The sequence below is a fragment of the Homo sapiens genome, chromosome 12 (assembly GCF_000001405.40).
Source record: "Homo sapiens chromosome 12, GRCh38.p14 Primary Assembly".
NCBI classification, from domain to species: Eukaryota; Metazoa; Chordata; class Mammalia; order Primates; family Hominidae; genus Homo; species Homo sapiens.
Window position 1 is genome coordinate 108,732,821 of NC_000012.12, and position 21,893 is coordinate 108,754,713.

At 44.4% G+C, this 21,893-nt stretch overlaps 1 long non-coding RNA gene across 1 annotated transcript, besides 1 other annotated feature; it reads left to right on the forward strand.

The window, feature by feature from the left end:
• The first annotated feature begins 588 nt into the window (after positions 1-588).
• LOC105369969 (uncharacterized) lies at positions 589-21,332 on the forward strand. The gene is made up of 3 exons (XR_945328.4): positions 589-632; positions 14,624-14,855; positions 21,168-21,332. It is a non-coding gene; the product is annotated as an uncharacterized LOC105369969 (long non-coding RNA).
• Positions 1,781-2,282: an enhancer, noted in NCBI's record as "H3K27ac hESC enhancer chr12:109128377-109128878 (GRCh37/hg19 assembly coordinates)". NCBI's record gives its function as "activates a minimal SCP1, AML or CMV promoter by ChIP-STARR-seq in primed H9 embryonic stem cells {active_cell/tissue: H9 hESC(primed)}" and the evidence as "EXISTENCE:reporter gene assay evidence [ECO:0000049][PMID:30033119]".
• Positions 21,333-21,893: the final 561 nt, after the last annotated feature.

Below are 21,893 nucleotides of genomic sequence, written 5' to 3' on the forward strand. Positions count from 1 at the left end.
TCCCTCACAGGGTTCCATGAGATCATATTAGCAGCCATGATCGTGGCATTACTTTTTGCCATTAAAAGGAATGGCAAAAACCGCGATTACTTTTGCACCAGGATAATAGTAATATACTTAGAAGAGTTCCTGGCTTGTGATAAACGCTCGACAGTACCTGTTGCTGCTACTGCTGGGACTCAACAAAATGAAAGGATGGGTTTTATTTTGCCTTCAAGCAGCCACTCCTAATAGGAGGAATTCAGCACCCTTCCTGCAGTAAGATTTGCCACTCACTTTATTTAAATGAGATAAACGTGATGAAACGCCTACTGCAGTGCCTGCCATATGGTGAGGCTCAAAAACAATTCACTTGTTTTTGTTTGTTTGAGACACAGTCTTGCTCTGTCGCTCAGGCTGGAGTGCAGTGGGGCAGTCCACGGCTCACTGCAGCATGGACCTCCCGGGCTCAAGTAATCCTCCCACCTCAGCCTCCCACGTAGCTGAGACTACAGGCACGCGCCACCATGCCCAGCTAAATTCTTAACATTTTTCTGTAGAGATGAAGTCCTGCTATGTTGCCCAGGCTGGCCTCAAACTCCTGAGCTCAAGAGATCCTCCCACCTCGGCCTCCCAAAGTGTTGGGATTACAGGTATGAGCCACTGTGCCCACAATTCAATAGTTTTGAACAATAAAAGTTGTTTTTTTAAAATCCACTAGTTAATAAATTAAACAGGGGCATTGATAGCAGTGAGTTCTGAGTGCTTTGGGGAAAATGAAGATTGGTAAAGTGCTTTGAGTTCCTTTTTTTTTGAGACGGAGTCTTGCTCTGTCGCCCAGGCTGGAGTACAGTGGCGCGATCTCAGCTCACTGCAAGCTCCGCCTCCCAGGTTCACGCCATTCTCCTGCCTCAGCCTCCCGAGTAGCTGGGACTACAGGCACCCGCCACCACGCCCGGCTTATTTTTTGTATTTTTAGTAGAGACGGGGTTTCACCATGTTAGCCAGGATGGTCTCGATCTCCTGACCTTGTAATCCACCCGCCTCGGCCTCCCAAAGTGCTGGGATTACAGGCGTGAGCCACCGCGTCCGGCCGAGTTCCAACTGGAAACCACGGAGTAAGCTAGCTTATTCTTTGGAAACAGATTATTGCTAACATTTATCCATCACTTAGACATGCTAGGCACTATCTGAGTGCTTTACATGCAGAATCTTCTGAAATTGCTCAACAATCCTATGGCCACAGAAATAATTCTTTTTTTTTTTTCTTTTTGAGACGGGGTCTCACTCTTTTGCCCAGGCTGGAGAGCAGTGGCTCCATCTGGCTCACTGCAGCCTCGAACTACCAGGCTCAAGCAATCCTTCCACCTCAGCCTTCCAAGCAGCTAAAACTGCAGGTGCACACCACTTTGCTCACTAATATTTTTACTTTTTGTACAGATGGGGTCTTGTTTTGTTGCCCAGGCTAGTCTCAAATTCCTGGCCTCCCAAAGGTGTTGAAATTACAAGCATGAGCCACCACACCCAGCCCAGAAGGGACTCCTAATCCCCACCTATAAAGGTGAGGAAACTGAAGACTCAGAGAAGTTAAATTCCTTGTCCAAGTCACATGGCTTGAACCACGTAGAACCCACATCCATCTAAATGCAGAGCCTGCACCCTTAGCCAGTTAGTCATTACACTAAACTGCCTCTGTGGCAGCATGACAGAACAGAAAAACCGTGGACTTTGGATTCTGGCCGGTTTAGGTTTAAATTCAGGCTCCACCTATTACTCATTGTGTGACGTTCAGCAAGTCACTTCCCCTCTGAGCTGAGCCCTATTCTTCTGCCTATATATCACTGGGAATCATGTAAATGCTTCAGGAAGTGGTTTTGAATATTCAGGAGTTTAGATTCAATGAATTAGGACGTGGCAAAGCACCCAACACAGTGCCCAGCACAAAATAGTTGTTTTAAAACATGTTGATGTTTAAAAATCACAGGGTTCCGGCCAGGAGTGGTGGCTCACACCTGTAATCCCAGCACTTGGGAGGCTGAGGCAGGCGGATTGTTTGAGGTCAGGAGTTCGAGACCAGCCTGGGCAATATGATGAAACCCCGTCTCTACTAAAAATACAAAAATTAGCCAGGCATGGTGGCACGCGTCTGTAATCCCAGCTACTTGGGAGGCTGAGGCAGAAGAATTGCTTGAACTCGAGTTTGGAGGTGGAGGTTGCAGTAAGCCTAGATAGCGCCACTGCACTCCAGCCTGGGCGAGAGTGAGACTCTGAAAAAAAAAATAGAAATAAATAAAAATAAAAAAATCTTGGGGTTCCATGAGATCATAGATAAATGATGAAGTTAGAAGTGATGAAATGATAATGATGAAATTAGAAGAATTCCCCCCGCCAGATGATACCGCCAAAAAGCAGCCATGGAATATGCTACGAAAGATCCCAAGGCCTTCATCTTCTGACTGCCTCTTTCAGTTCCTGGTTTGAGCCCTGCATTTGAGGAGGTGATTCTTGCACAGGAAGCACCCAATGCCAGAAGCAATGCCACCTCACTTTCACTCCATGCCTATCCCAAATGTGGTCAGCTGAGAGCTGCTTACTTCCAGAAACAGGAAAACTGCATAACTCTGCTGGGAGAAAGCCCCATCATCTCATTGTTCTTGAACCTACAGCAATTGCTTTGTGGGCCTGAAAGAAACCTTGGCTCTGTCCAAGCTGGCCCTAAAGGGAGGGATCCAAGTCCAGGTGAGATGCTGGATTTAAGAGTTTTTTCCTGCTCTCAAAAGCTGGTGATTTCTAAAGTGGCTTAAGACAGGTGCTAGATGGAGAGGAATTTAATGATCAGGAAAAATAAAAATGATTCCAGACCACACATGATATAGATGCCAGCTTATGTATGAAGTGGAAAGAACTGTGGGCCCAGCATCCAGAGGCTCCTTAGCAAATCATTTTTCTATTTTTTCTGAGTACCAAATGGGGACATTTGTTTTAGGTTGCTAGGGCAACCTAGAAGCTCAGTGAATTACCCTGTGGAAGCATTAACAAATAATAATATTATTAAATAAATGAGACTGGAAGTCCCTAGAGTAATCTCAGTAGACAAGACCCCTAATTGAGCGATAGAAGACAACAAAATTTGAAGAGCACTAAAATTCACTCTACATTGATAAATCTTCATTCTCACCACTTTGGGTACTTCTTTCTGCAAAATAGAGACTGGAAAAATACTGAATGATTGACAGGCTACAGACAAATGCCTTTTTTAAAATTAAAATTGTAATTTTGAGATAATTACAGATTCACATACAAGTGTAAGAAATAATACAAAGAGGCCAGGAGTGGTGGCATGCGCCTGTAATGCCAGCTACTTGGGAGGCTGAGGCACAAGAATTGTCTGAACCCAGGAGGTGGAGGTTGCAGTGAGCCAAGATCACGCCACTGCATTCCAGCCTGAGTGACAGAGCGAGACTCTGTCTCATTAAAAAGAGAGAGGGAGGGAGAGAGAGAGAGAGAGAGAGAGATCATGTGTGGGCCAGGTACAGTGGCTCATGCCTGTAATCCTAGCACTTTGGAGGCCAAGGCAAGTGGCTCACTTGAGCTCAGAAGTTTGAGACCACTCTGGGCAACTTAGTGAAACCCCATCTCTACAAAAAATTTAGCGAAAAATAACAACAAAAAAAAGAGAGATCACATGTACCCTTTATGCAGTTTCCTCCAGTGGTAACATCTTGCAAAACTGTAGTACATTATAACCTGGATATTGACATGGATACAGTCAATGTCAATATAGATGTTGAAAATATTTCCATCACCACAAGGATACTTCATGTTCCCTTTGATAGCCACACCCACTTCCACCTTCCGTTCATCCATCCCCTCCTTAAGCCCTGGCAACCACTCATCTGTTCTACATTTCTAAAATTTTGTCATTTCAAGAATGTCATGTAAATGGAATCATATAGTATGTAACCTTTTAGAATTGACTGTTTTCACCCTGCATAAATCTCTGGAGATGCATCCAGGTTGTTGCATGTGTGAGTAGTTTGTTCCTTATTATTGCTGAGTAGTGTTCCATGGTACACATGCACCACGGTTTAAATATTCACCCATTGAAAGACATATTGTTTGACCTATTCACCCATTGAAGGACACAGGTTGGAGCTATTATGAATAAAGCTGGTATAAACGTTATAAACATTCATGTACAGCTTTTTGTGTGAACGTACGTCTTCATTTCTCTGTGAAAAGTTCCCAGGAGTCCAATTGCTGTGTTATATGGTAGTCGTATGTTCAGTATTTTAAGAAACTGTCAAACTGTTTCCCAGAATGGTTGACCCATTTTACATCCCCACCTACCAGCAATCTATGAGTGCCAGTTTCTTTGCATCTTTGTCAGCATTTGATGTTGTCACTATATTTTATTTTAGCCATTCTGATAGGTATAGAGTAATACCTCATTGTGGTTTTAATTTGCATTTTCCTGTTGGTTAATAATGTTCAAAATCTTTTCATGTTCTTATTTGCTATTTATTTATTTTAAAAAAAATTTTTTTTTTTTTTTCTGAGACAGAGTCTCGCTCTGTCACCGAGGCTGGAGTGCAGTGACGTAATCTCAGCTCACTGCAATCTCCGCCTCTTGGGTTCAAGTGATTCTCCTGCCTCAGTCTCCCAAGTAGCTGAGATTACAAGCACCCACCACCATGCCCATTTAATTTTTGTATTTTTAGTAGAGATGGGGTTTCACCATGTTGGCCAGGCTGGTCTTGAACTTCTGACTTCAAGCAATACACCTGCCTTGGCCTCCCGAAGTGCTGGGATTACAGGCGTGAGCCAGCACACCTGGCTCTTATTTGCTATTTATATGTCTCTTCATGTCTTGCTAATTTTCTTTTCTTTTCTTTTTTTTTTTTTTTTTTTTTTTTTTGACAGGGTCTCACTCTATCACCCAGGCTAAAGTACAGTGGCATGATCATAGCTCACTGCAGCCTTGAACTCCTGGGCTCAAGTGATCCTTCTGCCTCAGCTTCCCCAGTAGCTGGGACTACAGGCATACACCACCACATCAGTTAATTTTTAAATTATATTTTGTAGAGATGGGGGTCTCACTGTGTTGCCAAGGCTGATCTCAAACTCTGGGCTAAGCAGTCCTCCCGCCTTAGCCTTCCAAAGTGCTGGGATTACAGGCATGAGCCACTGCACCCTGCCAATAGCACTATATTTTTTATTACAATGTCCATGAGTTCATGGCTAGTATATTGGAATACAATTAGTTTTTCTATGTTTACCTTATATCCCGGGGCCTTGTTGAAGTCACCTTTTAGTTCTACAAACTGTTTTATAGATTCCTTGGGATTTCCTACAGAAACAATCATGTCACCAGAAAATAGAGATGATTTTAATTTTTTTCTTTCCAATCTGTGTGTCGCTTATGCCCATTTCTTGCCTTATTACACTGGCTAGCACCTCCAGCACTATGCTGAGTGCTGCATAGTGAGTGAAAGCAAAGTGAGTGAAAGCAAAGCATAGTGAGTGTTGCATAGTGAGTGAAAGCTGCATAAGGAGTGAAAGCAAACGTCTTTGCCTTGTTCTTGACCTTTGGCAGGAAGCATTCAGTCTTTCATCATTAAGTGTAATGTTAGCTGCAGTTTGTTTTTTTTTTTGTAGATGCTCTTTATCAAATTGAGGAATTTGGCTGGTCTGAAAGTAGTGAGTTATCTCAATGGACTTTTTACAGTCAGTTACAGATCAAACTCCATGTACTACTCTTCCCCTCTCCCCCCACTTCTCACTACTGCACTTGATTATTCTTTAAAAAAAATCAAGGAATTTCTCCTTCATTCCTATTTTTAAGAGATTTTTAAATCATGAATACCTGTACTACACTGAATGATATATGATTTTTCTTCTTTAGCCTGTTAATATGGTGCATTACATTGATTTCTGAATACCAAGCAAGCCTTGCATCCCTGGAATAAATCCCACTTGGTTAAGGTAGACAATTCTTTATACAGATTGCTGAATTCCATTTGCTAATTTATTGTTAAGCATTTTTGTTTTGTTTTTTTCTTTTCTTTTCAGACAGGGTCTCACTCTGTTGCCCGTGCTGGAGTGCAGTGGCACAATTTCGGCTCACTGCAGCCTAGACCTCCCAGGCTCAGGTGATCCACCCACCTCAGCCCCCTAGGCAGCTGTAACTACAGACATCCACCACACCCGGTTAATTTTTGTATCTTTTGTAGAAATGGGTTTTCGCCGTATTGCCCAGGCTGGTCTCGAACTCCTGGGCTCAAGCGATCCTCCCACTTCAGTATCCCAAAGTACCAGAATTACAGGCATGAGCCACCATGCTCGACTGCATTTTTGTTTCTATACTCATGTGAGATATTAATCTGTAGTTCCACCTTGTGTCTTGCTCTGTCGCCCAGGCTGAAGTGCAGTAGCGTCATCTCGGCTCACTGCAACCTCCACCTCCTGGGTTCAAGCAATTCTCCTGCCTCAGCCTCCTGAGTAGCTGGGATTATAGGCATGTGCCACCACACCCAGCTAATTTTTCTGTATTTTTAGTAGAGACAGGGTTTCACCATATTGGCCAGGCTGGTCTCAAATTCCTGACCTTGTGATCCGCCCACCTCGGCCTCTCAAAGTGCTGGGATTACAGGCATGAGCCGCCCCGCCCGGCCCAGTAGTTCCACCTTTTCGTAAAACTCTGGTTTTAACATCAGAGTTAACACTCGCTTAGTAAAATGAATTGGAATATGTTTCCTTCTCTTCTATTTTCTGGAAGAGATTTTGCAGGTAACTGTTAATTCTTTAAATGTTTGGTAAACTTCTCCAGGGAAACCATTTCAACCTAGAGATTCCTCTTTGGGGATCTGTTACATTACAAATTCAATTTCCTTAATAGTTACAGGGCTATTCAAACTGTCTATTCTGTAGTGGGTGAGTTACGGTAGTTTTTGTTTTTAAAGGAATTGGTCTATTTCGCTTATCAAGTTTGATGTATGCAGTGATAGCCCCTCTTTCATTCCTGATACCGAAAATTTGTGTCTTCTTTTTCTTTTCTTTTCTTTTGTTTGAGCCGGAGTCTCGCTCTTTCACCCAGGCTGGAGTGAAATGGTGCAATCTCGGCTCACTGAAATTTCTGCCTCCCAGTTCAAGTAATTCTCTGCCTCAGCCTCCCGAGTAGCTGGGATTACAGGCACCCGCCACCATGCCCAGCTATTTTTGTATTTTTAGTAGAGACAGGGGCTTCACCATCTTGGCCAGGCTGGTGTTGAACTCCTGACCTCATGATCCACCCGCCTCGGCCTCCCAAAGTGCTGGGATTACAGGCATGAGCCACCATGCCCAGCCAATTTGTGTCTTCTTTTTCCTTCTTGGTTAGTCTTAGCAGAGAATTGTCAATTTTACTGAAACTTTTCAAGAACTAGTTTTTATTTCATTGATTTTTCTCTATTGTTTTCTTGCTTTCCGTTTCATTGATTTGTGCTCTTTACAATTTCCTTCCTTCTGTTTGCTTTGGGTTTATTTTGCTCCCCTTGTCCTATGTTCTTTAAGTGGAAGCTTAGATGATTGATGTGGGACTTTTATTTTCTTTCTTTCTTTTTTTTTAAATGGAGTCTCACTCTGTCACCCAGGCTGGAGTGCAGTGGCATGATCTTAGCTCACTGCAACCTCTGCCTCCCAAGTTCAAATGATTCTCCTGCCTCAACCTCCCAAGTAGCTGCGATTACAGGCTTGCACCACCATGCCTAGCTAATTTTCGTATTTTTAGTAGAGACGAGGTTTCACCATGTTGGTCAGGCTGGTCTTGAACTCCCAAACTCAGGTGATCCACCCTCCTCAGCCTCTCAAAGTCCTGGGATTACAGGTGTGAGCCACCACACCTGGCCTGATGTAGGACATTTTAAACATATGTATGTAGTGCTGTGAAGTCCCCTCTCAGCCCTTGTTTACCTGTGTGCCACAAATTTTGATATGTTATATTGTCACTTTCATTCAGTTTAATGTATTTTTAAATTTCCTTTGAAACTTTCTCTTTGAGACATGGGTTACTTATAAGTGTGTTGTTTAGTTTGCAAGTGTTTGGAGACTATTCTGTTATCTTTCTGTTCTTGGTTTCTAATTTGATTCCTTTGTGGTTGAAGAATACACTGTGTATGATTTTAATTCTTTTAAATTTGTTGACATTTGTTTATGGTCTAGGATATGGTCTATCATGGTATATGTTCTATGGGCACCTGAAAAGACTGTGTATTCTGCTGCTGTTTAGGGAAATGTCCTATATGTGTTGATCAGATCCCATTGGTTGATGATGTTGAGTTCTTCTATATTCTTGCTGATTTTCTGTCAAGTTATTCTATCAGTTATTGAGAGAAGAGTATTGAAATCTTAAACTATAGGGCCAGGCACAATGGTGCATGCCTGTAATACCAGCACTTTTGGAGGCCGAAGTGGGTGAATCACTTGAGGTCAGGAGTTTGAGACCAGCCTGGCCAACATGATGAAACCCCATCTCTACTGAAAAAATACAAAAATTAGCCAGGCGTGGTGGTGGGCACCTGTAATCTCAGCTACTCAGGAGGCTGAGGCAGGAGAATTGCTTGAATCCAGGAGGTGGAGGTTGCAGTGAGCTGAGATCCAGCCTGGGTGACAAAGCAAGGCCATGTCTTAAAAAAAAAAAAAAAGGAAGAAAGAAATCTTAAACTATAATGATAGATCTGTCTATTTCTCTTTTCAATTCTATTAGTTTTTGCCTCACATATTCTGCAGCTCTGTTGTTTGGTGCACACATGTTTAGGATTGTTAGGACTACTTGGTGGATTGCCCGTTTGTCATTATACAATGTCCTTCTCTGTCTCTCAGTCTTCTTTGCTCCGAAGTATACTTTATCTAATACTAACATAGCTATCCCTGCAATCTTTTGATTAATGTTTGCCTGATATTATTTTCCCATCCTTTTACTTTCTTTTTTTTTTTTTTTTGAGGAGTCTCACTCTGTTGCCAGGCTGGAGTACAGTGGCGCTATCTCTGCTCACTGCAACCTCCACCTCCTGGGTTCAAGCGATTCTTCTGCCTCAGCCTCCGGAGTAGCTGGGACAACAGGCACATGCCACCAGGCCCAGCTAATTTTTGTATTTTTAGTAGAGGCGGGGTTTCACCTTGTTGGCCAGGATGGTCTCGATCTCTTGACCTTGTGATCTGCCCACCTTGGCCTCACAAAGTGCTGGGATTACAGGTGTAAGCCACTGCACCCAGCCACCATCCTTTTACTTTCAACCCACTTGTATATTTGAAGTGAGTTTCCTGTGGACAACATGTAGTTGGTTCATGCTTTTTCGGTCTACTCTGCCAAGTTCTGTCTTTTTTTTTTTTTTTTTTGACAGAGTCTCACTCTGTTGCCCAGGCTGAGTGCAGTGGCATGATCTCTGCTCGCTGCAACCTCTGCCTCCCGGGTTGAAGCAATTCTCCTGCCTCAGCCTCCACACGCCACCACAGGCACATGCCACCACAACCGGCTAATTTTTTTTGCCATGTTGGCCAGGCTGGTCTCAAACTCCTGACCTCAGGTGATCCACCCACCTCAGCCTCCCAAAGTGCCGGGATTACAGGCATGAGCCACTGCACCCAGCCATAAGTTCTGTCTTTAATTAGTGTGTTTAGACCCTTTACATTTAAGGTAATTATTGATATATTAGAGCTTAAGTCTGCTGTTTTATTTTGTGCTTGTGCTTGTTCTCTCTATTTTTCATTTCTGTTTCCTTCTTACTGCCTTCCTGTGGGATTTTTAGAGTTTCTTTTGATTTATCTATAGTGTTTTTGAGTGTATCTCTTTGCATAGCACTTTTAGTAGTTGTTCTAGGTACCACATTATAGATGGATGGATAGATAGAGATATACAGGTAGATATCCACAAAAAATAGAAGATATAAGAAAGAACCAAATGGAAATTTAGAACTGAAAAATATAACTAAAAGAATCCAATGGGTGGACTCAACAACAGAATAGAGGGGGCAGAGGAAAAAAATCAATGAACTTGAAGACAGAGCTATAGGAATTACCCAATCTGAAAACAATAGAGAGAAAATAGACTTCGGTCTCCAAAAAAAAGATAAAATAGACTTCATGTAGTTCTATGAAGTCCTTTCTCAGCCCTTGTTTAGCTGTACGACACAAATTTTGATATGTTGTATTATCACTTTCATTCAGTTTAATGTTTTTTTAAATTTCCTTTGAAACTTTCTCTTTGAGACATGGGTTACTTATAAGAGTGTTGTTTAGTTTCCAAGCGTTTGGAGATTATTCTGTTATCTTTCAAAAAACTACACAGAACCTCAGGGACCTTGGGACTATAACAAAAGACTTAGCTTTCGTGACATCAGAATTTCAGAAGGACAGGAGAAAGAGGGTGGGGCTGAAAAAGTACTTGAAGAAATAGTGGCCAAACACTTCCCAAATTTGGAATAAAGATTCCAAAAATCTACAGAAGCTAAACAAAACTCAAACAGGATAAACCCACAGAAGCTCACGCCAACACACATCATAGTCAAACTTCTGAAAACTAAAGACAAAGAAAAAATCTTGAAAGCAGTGAGAGAGCAACAATACCCTACCTATCATAGAAAATCAATTTGAACAACAATAGTTTTCTTATCAGAAACCAAGGATCTCAGAAGAAAGTGGCACCGCTTCTTTTTTTTTTTTTTTAAGACAGGGTCTTGCTCTGTCTCCCAAGCTGGAATGCAGTGACATGATCATAGCTCACTGCAACCTTGACTTCCTGAGTTCAAGCAATCCTTCTGCCTTAGCCTCCCAAGTAGCTGGGACTACAAGCATGCACAATCATGCCCAGCTAATTTTTAATTTTTTTGTAGAGACGGGGTCTTGCTGTGTTACCTAGGCTGGTCTCAAACTCCTGGCCTCCAGCAATCTTCCAACCTCCACCTTCCAAAGTGCTGGGATAATAGGCATGAGCCACTATGCCCAGCCAGGACAGCATTTTTTAAGTGCTGAAAGAAAGAACTATCAACCCAGAAAACAATATCTAGTGAAAATGTTCTTCACTACTGAAGAGGAAATCAAGACATTCTCAGATGAAGGAAAAGTAAGAGAATTTGTCACCAGTAGACCTTCCCTAAAAGAATGGAAAGAGAGGCCGGTGGCAGTGGCTCACGCCTGTAATCCTAGCATTTTGGGAGGCCAAGGCGGGTGGATCACAAAGTCAGGAGTTGGAGACCAGCTTGGCCAATATGGTGAAACCCCATCTCTACTAAAAACATAAAAATTAGCCGGGTGTGGTGGTGTGTGCCTGTAATCTCAGCTACTTGGGAGGCTGAGGCAGGAGAATCACTTGAACCTGAGAGGCAGAGGTTGCGGTGAGCCAAGATTGCACCACTGCACTCCAGCCTGCATGACAGAGCAAGACTGCCAAAAAAAAAAAAAAAAAAAAAAAAAAAGGAAAGAGGAAGTTCTCTAAACAGAAAGGAAATGATAGAAGAAGGAACCTTGGAACATTAGGAGGGAAGAAAGAACGTGGTCATCTGAAGTGTAAGTAAATACAGACTTTTCTTCTCTTCCTGAGTTTTCTAAATTATGACCAATGGTTAGAGTAAAAATTATAACACTAATCTGGTTCTAAATGTATGTAGAGGAAATATTTAAGACAATTATAATACAAACAGAAGAGTATAAGAAAACATAAGGGAGATAAGACTCTATACTTGAACTGGTAAAATGACAACACCAGTAGACTATGAAGATAGATAGATGATTGACAGATAAATAGATAGAGAGAGAGAGAGAGAATAAACATCAGATCTGATTCTGATGACTTTCTATTTTCTTACATTTGTTTCAGTCACGTTTGCAATTGGTTGCTAAGCATTTCTATGATGACTGCTTTAAAAACATTGTCAGCTAATTCTAACATCTCTATCATCTTTGCATTGGCACATATTGATTGTCTTGTTTCATTCGGTTTCAGATCTTCCTGGTTCTTTGTGTGAGTTATTTTCAATCAAAACCTGGACATTTTAGGTATTATGTTATGAAACTCTGGATCTCATTTAAACTTTTTTTTTTTTTTTTTGAGATGCAGTCTTGCTCTGTCACTCAGGCTGGAGTGCAGTGGCATGATCATAGCTCACTGTAATCTTGAACTCCTGGGCCCAAGGGATCCTCCTACAAGCCTCCTGAGTAGCTAGGACTACAGGTACCACCATACCTGGCTTTTAAAAAACTTTTTTTTTTTTTTGAGATGGAGTCTTGCTCTGTCACCCAAGCTGGAGTGCAGTGGTGTGATCTCAGCTCACTGCAACCTCCACCTCCCGGGTTCCAGTGATTCTCCTGCCTCAGCCTCCCGAGTAGCCTGGATTACAGGCACGCATCACCATGCCCAGCTTATTTTTGTATTTTTAGTAGAGATGGGGTTTCCCCATGTTGGCCAGGCTGGTCTCGAACTACTGACCTCAGGTGATCCACCCGCCTCGTCCTCCCAAAGTGCTGGGATTACAGGTGTGAGCCACTGTGCCTGGCCTAAAAAAATTTTTTTTATAGGGACAGTGTCTTGCTATGTTGCCCAGGCCGGTCTCGAACTCCTGGCCTCAAACAATCTTCCCATCTTGGCCTCCCATACATCTTCCATTCATTTTATATGGTGCTACTTGACACCACTACAGCAGAGTGGGGGTGGGAGTTCCTCCTCATTAATGCCAGGAGGGGTGGAAGTTCTCCAGTCAGCCTCTGATGAAAGCTGATGGGCAGGGTGGGAGACTTCTCTTATTTCTGGGTGGAAGTGGGACTTGTGGTTCCCCACCTGCTCTGCTGATACCTTCCTGGCTGGGAGAGGTAGAAGTGCCTCACTGGTGTTCCCCATGTGTCTTCCTTTGACATCATGGGAAAGTGTTCCCAGGCAGTGGCGACAGTCCCAACGCTCCTTGCTGCCTCCCCTGACAGCACCCGATGGGGGAGAAGGAGGAGCACATCGTTACTGTCAGATGGGAGTAGAAATGCACACTCCTCATGTGATGGCCACTTGAACCACAGGGAGAGGCCTCATGACCACCTGATGGGAATGGAAGTCCCTACTCTCTATTCCGCCTTCTCTGATGCCACCTCATGGCATTGTGGGAACATCCATGAGGAAATGCAGGTTGCACACTTGGCTCAGGGCCCACCATATGCTGGGGGCTGAGTCCATGCATGGTAGCCATGATGGTTTGAGCTAATGCCAGAAGCCCTGGTGTGATGACCAGTCCTGCCATTTCCTGGCTTTGTGATCTTGGTCAAGTTATGCCACCTCTTTGGGCCTCTGTTTCCTCATCTCTTCAGTGGAGAGAAATGATGCTCATCTGAGATTATGTCTGCGAGAGCACCTGCTACTGATCCTTAATACAGATAAATACCACAGTTGAGCTGGTACTTATTAAGCATTTACCGCCCACCAGGCCAGTGATACCAACTTCCCAGGCATTAACTCAGTGAAATGGCTTTTTTAATCCCCATTTTACAGAGGAAGAAACTGAGGCTCAGAGAGGTAAAGCCTCTTGCTCATGGCCACACTGCTGGCCCCACTGCACTGAGTCTACTTCTTGATAGAGTGTGCCACCTTCTCCGTGTCTAAGAATAAGAGGAACCATTAAAAGTTTAAGATCTGATTCACCAGAGAAAACCTCTGGCTCAGGGATCTGCACAGCTCCTACTCTGATTAAATATAAAAAAATCGGCCAGGCAGCCAGGTGCAGTGTCTCACATCTGTAATCCCAGCACTTTGGGAGGCCTAGGCAGGTAGATCACGAGGTCAAGAGGTCAAGACCATCCTGGCCAACATGGTGAAACCCTGTCTCTACTAAAAATACAAAAAAAAAAAAATTAGTTGGGCATGGTGGCACGTACCTGAAATCCCAACTACTCGGGAGGCTGAGGCAGGAGAATCGCTTGAACCTGGGAGGTGGAGGTTGCAGTGAGCTGAGATTGCGCCACTGCACTCCAGCCTAGAGACAGATCAAAAAAAAAAAAAAAAAAAATCGGCCAGTTGCGGTGGCTCACGCCTGTAATCCTAGCACTTTGGGAGGATCAGTTGAGCCCAGGAGTTTGAGACCAGCCTGGGCAACATAGTGAGACCCCATCTCTATGAAAAAAATACATAAAATAGAAACATGAGATGTTAATACAGAGGTAACTGGGTGTGGGGTTATATGGAAACTCTGTACTATTTTGCAACTTTTCTGTAAATCAAAGTCTATCCTAAAATAAAAGTTTCCTTAAAAATACAGTGCCTGACAGCTACTCAGGAGGCTGAGGCAAGAGAATTGCTTAAACCCAGGAGGCGGAGGTTGCAGTGAGCCAAGATCACGCTATTGCACTCCAGCCTGGGTGACAAGAGCGAAACTTCGTCTCAAAAAAAGAAAAAGAAAAAGAAAAGAAAAAAAAGACAACTACAGCGTCTGGGCTGGGTACAGTGGCTCATGCCTGTAATCCCAGCACTTTGGGAGGCTGAGGTGGGAGGATCACTTGAGCCCTTTGCAATATATCTTTGCAGCTCTTTTCATCAAGAGACAAAATCTGTTTCCCAGTGCTTGAATCTGGACTGGTCTTCTAAATTGCTTTGGCCAATAGGATGCAACAGAAATAACTATCCTGGCATTTCTAGGCTTAGGCCTCAAGAGATCTTGAACATTTTCACTTGCTCTCCTGGAACCCTGATGCTGCCACGTGAACAAGCCCAGGCAACCTTACTGGAAGAAGAGAAGCATCAACTCCAACACATGAGTGAGGTTATCCTAGACCAGCCAAACCCCATCAACCACAAACATGAGTAAGCCCTGCAGAGACCCACCGAGCCCAATCCGGATCAACCAAACCTCCCAGCCTGCTTTAAACTTGTGAGTAAATAATAAATACATATTATTTCAAGTCACTGAATTTGGGGGAGGTTTGTTACACAGTGAGAGCTACCTGATACAAACCCAAAAGACATCAGAAAAGGTGTTCTACTTCGACCCAATAATTTCACTCCAGAAATGTATCCTAAAGTAATTCTCATGATCACATACACAGATAGAGTCAATTCTCATTATTCATGGTACTTATTCTACAAAGTCACCAAGAACACTGAATTAGCAAATACTAAACCATTGCTCCTAGGGGAAATACATGGTTAGGTGCCTGCAAGCTTTTGGTCACGACATTTTAGTCAACCAATCAATATACAAGCTTTTTTTATGTGTGTTTCTGTTTAAAGACACCCCCCTTATTATTATTATTATTTTTGACAGGGTCTCACTCTGTTGTCCAGGCTGGAGTGCAGTGGAGCAATCACGGATCACTGCAGCCTCAACCTCTCCCAGTTCAGGTGATCCTCCCACCTCAACCTCCTGAGTAGCTTGGACTATAGGCATGTACCACCATGCCCAGCTAGTTCTTCTGTTTTGGGTAGAGACGGGGTTTTGCCACATTGCCCAGGCTGGTCTTAAACTCCTGGGCTCAAGTGATCCTCTCACCTCGACCTCCCAAAGTCCTAGGATTACAGGCATGAGCCATCACACCTGGCCAAAGCCACCATATAAAGTATTGTTGATTAATATATATTGTTGGGCCAGGAGCGATGGCTCATGCCTGTAATCCCAGCACTTTGGGAGGCTGAGACAGGCGCATCACCTGAGGTTGGGAGTTCGAGATCAGCCTGATCAACATGGAGAAACCCCATCTCTACTAAAAATACAAAATTAGCCGGGTATGGTGATGCATGCCTGTAATCCCAGCTAATTGGGAGGCTGAGACAGGAGAATTGCTTGAACCTGGGAGGCGGAGGTTGCGGTGAGCTGAGATCACACGATTGCCCTCCAGCCTGGACAACAAGAGCGAAACTCCATCTCAAAAAAAAAAAAAATCTCTATATATATATATGTTCAATTCATTCACATCAAACTCACAGCCAATACCATAATACCTCATGTTTGAATGAAGTGTATCTAACACATGTATTTTCCCCATAAGGCACATCACAACCTTCTTGTGCTTAGGGATACTAGATAGACAGTACTTTAGCACTACACTTGGGGATCATTTTAAACACAAAAGTCATACCAAAAAAGCACACAAACATTAAATATGTGGCAGTAAACATACAGTGAAAATGTACACTATGGTCTGAAAGTTTGTGTCCCACCCAAATTCATACACTGAAATCCTTAGCCAGGCATGGTGGCTCATGCCTGCAATCCCAGCACTTTGGGAGATCAGGGCAGAAGGATGGCCTGAACCCAGGAGTTCCAGACCAGCCCTGGCAACATAGTGAGACCTCGTCTCTACAAAAAATACAAATATTAGCTAGGCATGATGGTGCGCAGCTGTAGCCCCAGCTACTTGGGAGGCTGAGGTGGGAGGATTGCTTGAGCCTGGGAGGTTGAGGCTGCAGTGAGTCGTGATCGTGCCACCATACTCCAGCCTGGGTGACAGATCAAGACCTTGTCTCAAAAAAAAAAACAAAAAAACAAAAAAAAACACCACAAACTTTGGGCTTATGCAAATATGGAGGTTGAGAAGTGCCACAATCTGCCATCTGCAAACTGGAGACTCAGAGAGGCCAGTGGTGTAGTTTAGAGGCCTGAGAACCAGAGGCCCGATGGTGGACATTCCAGTCCAGGTCTGAAGGCCTGAGATGCTGGAGCTCCGAGGGCAGGAGAAGACTGACGTCCCAGCTCAAACAGGCAGAGGGAGAGCGCATCCAACCTTTCTCAGCCTTTTTATTCTCAGGCCCTCAATGGATTGGATGATCCATATTGGAGAAGGCCACCTGCTTTACTCAGTCCACCGATTCAAATGTTAATCTCTTCTGAACACACTTTCCCAAGCATACCAGAAATAGTGTTTAATTAGATATGTGGGCATCCTGTGGCCCAGTTACATTGACACATAAAATTAACCACCACTGGCCTGGTACAGTGGCTCACGCCTGTAATCCCAGCACTTTGGGAAGCCAAGGTGGGTGGATCACCTGAGGTCAGGAGTTCAAGACCAGCCTGGCCACATGATGAAACCCCATCTCTACTAAAAATACAAAAATTAGCCGGGTGTGGTAGCACCCGCTTATAGTCCCAGTTACTCAGGAGGCTGAGGCAGGAGAATCATTTGAACCCAGGAGATGGAGGTTGCAGTGACCTGAGATTGCACCACTGCACTCTAGTCTGGGTGACAGAGGGAGACTCCGTCTCAAAAAAAAAAAAAATTAACCATCATAATGGGTAAGTTTATTTTTCATATCTTCCATTCTGTATTTTCTAATTTTTCTGCAAAGTACATTCAGTCATTGGAAATCAGAAAAGTTATTGTCTTTTTTGTTTTTAAATTTTTTTGTTGGTTTGAGACAGAGACTCACTCTGTCACCCAGGCTGGAGTGCAGTGGCATGATCTCGGCTCACTGCAACCTCTGCTTCCCGGGTTCAAGCAATTTTCCTGCCTCAGCCTCTCAAGCAGCTGGGACTACAGGCGTGTGACACCATGGCCAGCTAATTTTTGTATTTCTAGCGAAGATGGAGGGTTTTGCCAGTTTTGCCATGTTGGCCAGGCTGGTCTCAAACTCCTGACCTCCCGCCTCAGCCTCCCAAAGTGCTGGGATTACAAGCATGAGCCACCATGCCTGGTCAAGTTATATCTTTTTTAAGAGAGGAAGGAATTCTGTAAATTCAAGGTACTGTATCAAGATCCTGAGCCTAATGTCACCCTTTGACAAGCTCAGTAGAACTCCAGCTGGAAAAATTTCTAGATAATGCTCTCATGCAGATTTTTCAAAACTTAAGTATGAATCTTGGCACAAAATGTGCTCGCTCATCCACATAAATCTCATTACTGAGGCAATAAACCTTGCAATTGCTTGTGCTGTCTGCAACGGCAAGAGCTGCAGTATCCAAAGCCCAGCCTGGCCAAACTCCCCTCACAAATCAGATATTCAACCTCACAGGAAAAGAGAATCACTGTTAATTAATAACAACAAAGGATTAGGCCAGTGGTTCTGAACCCGGGACAACTCTACTCCCCTCCTCCCCCCAGGGGACATTTGGCAGTGTCTGGAGACAGTATTTGGTTGTCGTTGACTAGGAGGTGCTCCTGGCATCCAGTGGATAGATCCCAGGAATGCTGCTGAACATCTTACAATGCATGGGACAGTCCCCACCCCGCCCCACAGCAAAGAAGTATTAGTCCCCAAATGTCAATAGGAGTACGGTTGAGAAACCCTGGCTCTTCAGACATATGGAGCCTTATTAGATCTTCCTGGGCTAAGAGCTTTACAGGAAAGATCTCATTTAATCCTCACAGCAATCCTAGGTATAGGGCCTATTATCATGCCCATTTTACAGAAAAGGAAACTGAGGCTAAGAATCACATACCATTTCTAGGCCGGGCACGGTGACTCATGCCTGTAATCCCAGCACTTTGGGAGGCCAAGGCAGGTGGATCACCTGAGGTCGGGAGTTTGAGACCAGCCTGGCCAACATGGAGAAACCCTGTCTCTACTGAAAATACAAAAATTATCTGGGTGTGGTGGTGGGCACCTGTAATCCCAACTACTTAGGAGGCTGAGGCAGGAGAATTTCTTGAACTCAGGAGGCAGAGGTTGCAGTAAACTGAGATCGCGCCACTGTACTCCAGTGTGGGTGACAGAGCAAGACTCCGTCCCAAAAAAAAAAAAAAAAAAAAAAATCATGTGGTATTTCTGACTTCAGCGTTTGTACTCTGCTCTCCTCCATGCCCAAATTGTTGAGTTATTGCTCTGTTGTTGTTTTGAGGTAAGGTCTCAGTCTGTTACCCAGCCTGGAGTGGAGTGGAGTGGTGCAATCAAGGCTCACTGCAGCTTCAAACTCATAGGCTCAAGCAATCCTCTTGCCTCAGCCTCCTGAGTAGCTTGGAGTACACAACCACATGCCACCACACCTGGTGAATTTTTGTATTTTTTGTAGAGATGGAGGTCTACGCTGTGTTGGCCAGGCTGGTCTCAAACTCCTAAGCTCAAGCAATCCTCCCACCTCGGCCTCTCAAAGTGCTGGGATTACAGGCATAAGCCACCAGACCTGGCCTGTTGTTTTTAATTATGGAAATTTTCAGGTATAAACAAAAGTAGAGAAACCAATTGAACAACCCTGCATGGTCCCTCTACCCAGCTTCAGAGCTTCAGGCAGAACCTCAAGCACAACATGCTTCCCTGCAATCAAGAATCCCTCAACAAGCCAAGATGAATCACACCAGGCCTGGGCCCTTGGGAACACATGAGTTCCTCCTTCAGGTCGCTGGAAACGCGTTCCCTCTTCCTTTACAGGTTTTGATCATATCCCCCATCAGCTGTTGCCTTTCCCAGCAGAAAAGTTAGACGTAAGATCATCTGTTCTCTCCCTACTTTAAGTGTCACCTCCTTTTCTGAGAGGTGAGAAAATAGTTTTCTCCCTAAGGAAAGCTGAGATGGGGAGAACATATGCTCAGAAACAGATAATCTTGCCACCAAAATTGTTAGTAGCAGGGAGGAGCTAGTATTTGCAACGTGGGGTGCAAAGCAGCTCCCTCCATGTCTGCCTGCATACATAAATCCTTATGAGAATAGGTGGCAATTTCTTTTATTCAAACAAATGCTCTCTAGTTTCTGCTTTGTGCGAAGCTCAACTGTGCTCAATCCTGAATACAGATGACAGGCAAAACAGTCAGCTGGCTTCTTTCAAATGAAGTCAGGCCTTCATGAGGGATGGAGAAACTGGGCTTGCATCCCAGATAGGGGCTTCTGTTAATCCCTATTAATGTTGGAACTGAATTGCATGTGCTGGGAAGCAGCAGAAGGGATTGCTGTGAACATGAACTTTGGAATTAGACAGCTCTGGGTTCCAAGTCCAGCTCTCCCACTAATTAGCTGTGTGACCCTGGGTAAGTCATTCAACCTCTCTGAACCACATGTCCTTGCCTGGAAAGTGAGGACTGTTCATGCAACATGTTGGAGCCCCTATTATGTTCCAATTAATGTTTGCTATTATTTTTATTTTATTTTACTTTTTTAAGATGGAGTCTCGATCTGCATCCAGGCTGGAGTACAGTGGCATGATCTCGGCTCACTGCAACCTCTACCTCCTGGGTTCGAGTGATTCTCATGACTCAGCCTCCTGAGTAGCTGGGATTACAGGCGTGCACCACCACACCTGGCTAATTTTTTTTTTTTTTTTTTTTTTTTTTTTTGAGCTGGAGTTTCACTCTTGTTGCCCGGGCTGGAGTGCAATGGCATGATCTCGGCTCACTGCAACCTCCGCCTCCTGGGTTCAAGTGATTCTCCTGACTCAGCCTCCCGAGTAGCTGAGATTACAGGTGCCTGCCACCACGCTAGGCTAATTTTTGTATTTTTAGTAGAGACAGGGTTTCACCATGTTGGCCAGGCTGGTCTCGAAATTCTGAACCCAGGTGATCCACCTGCCTTGGCCTCCCAAAGTGCTGGGATCACAGGTGTGAGACACCATGCCTGTGCCTGGCTAATTTTTGTATTTTTAGTTGAAACGAGATTTCGCCACGTTGACCAGCTGGTCTGGAACTCTTGACCCTCAAGTGATCCTCCCACCTTGGCCTCCCAAAGTGCTGGGATTACAGGCATGAGCCACCGTGCCCAGCCAAATGTTTGCTAATATTTTTATGACTACTCAGAACCCTACCATTTTTCATTTGTTCTTCCCAAAATCTCTGCCTGGGACACTGTGGTCGATTGCAAAAATAGCCACAAATTATTCTCCTGTATGGGGCCCTGTGGTGTTGCCTTCTACCCTGACTCTGGCCTTGACCATGGACCATACCTTGGCTAAAGAGATATCAGTGAATGTGAAACAAACAGGGGCTTAAAAAGAGCTTGCATATGGAGCTTGCCATCTCTTGCTACACTTGAATCCCAGCCACCAATTGAAGAAGCTCAGGCTCTTCTGCTGGAGGATGAGAGTCCCAATGCCCAGGCATACCCCATCACTCCAGCCCACAGCTGTCAACCACCAGATATGTGAGGGAGGCCACCCTAGACCACCCAGACATGAGCTGACGTTCCAGCTGACACACTCACAGCCAAGCCAGACCCCAGAATGGTGAGCTACATAAATGCTATTGTTTTAAGCCACAAACACCTGGGGATGGTTTGTTAGACAGCAATAGATAATGAATACAAATACGTAATCTTCCCACTTTAGGGATGAAGAAACTGAGGCTCAAAGAGGCTTGGCCAAGACCACAGAGCCAGCACTCAATGTCATTCCCTCTACCATGCAGCGGGCTCCCCTCTGCCATCTCCAGCCGCCTGAAGCAGGGCCCAGCATGAATGAGACAGCTGGCAGAGTGAGAGCTGTGCTCACCACCTCAGCTCAGTGGCCCCCTGGGGGACCTGGGCCGTGACCTTGGCCTCATTACTGCATCGGACCTGTAATCAGATGCTTAGAAGGTCTGCAGAGATCCACCCAGCCTGGATCATGGGGTAGAGACCCGCACGGCAAGCTGGAAGATGTAGCCTCTTTGAAATCACACCATTCACTGGGGGACTCTCAAGGGTTCATCACACTCCACTGGGTCCTGGCCATCTGCTCTGTCCATTTGATGGACAAATGGACAGCAAAGAGGGCTAGGGATGTATGACCTTTCTAAAATATGTATGAATAAAAAAACACTTTCTTTAGACAAGACAGAATAAGAATAGCGAAAAATACCCAGCAGCTCCCTTTACCGAGCATGCCCTGCATTGGAGACACTTAGGTCACCACTGTACACCCATTGTCCTTTTTATCCTCCCCCCAAACCCCACTGGGTGGAATATAAAGCTGCAGAGACAGCCAGGCACAGTGGCTCACACCTGTAATCCCAGCACTTTGGGAGGCTGAGGCGGGCGGATCACCTGAGTTCAGGAGTTTGAAACCAGCCTGCCA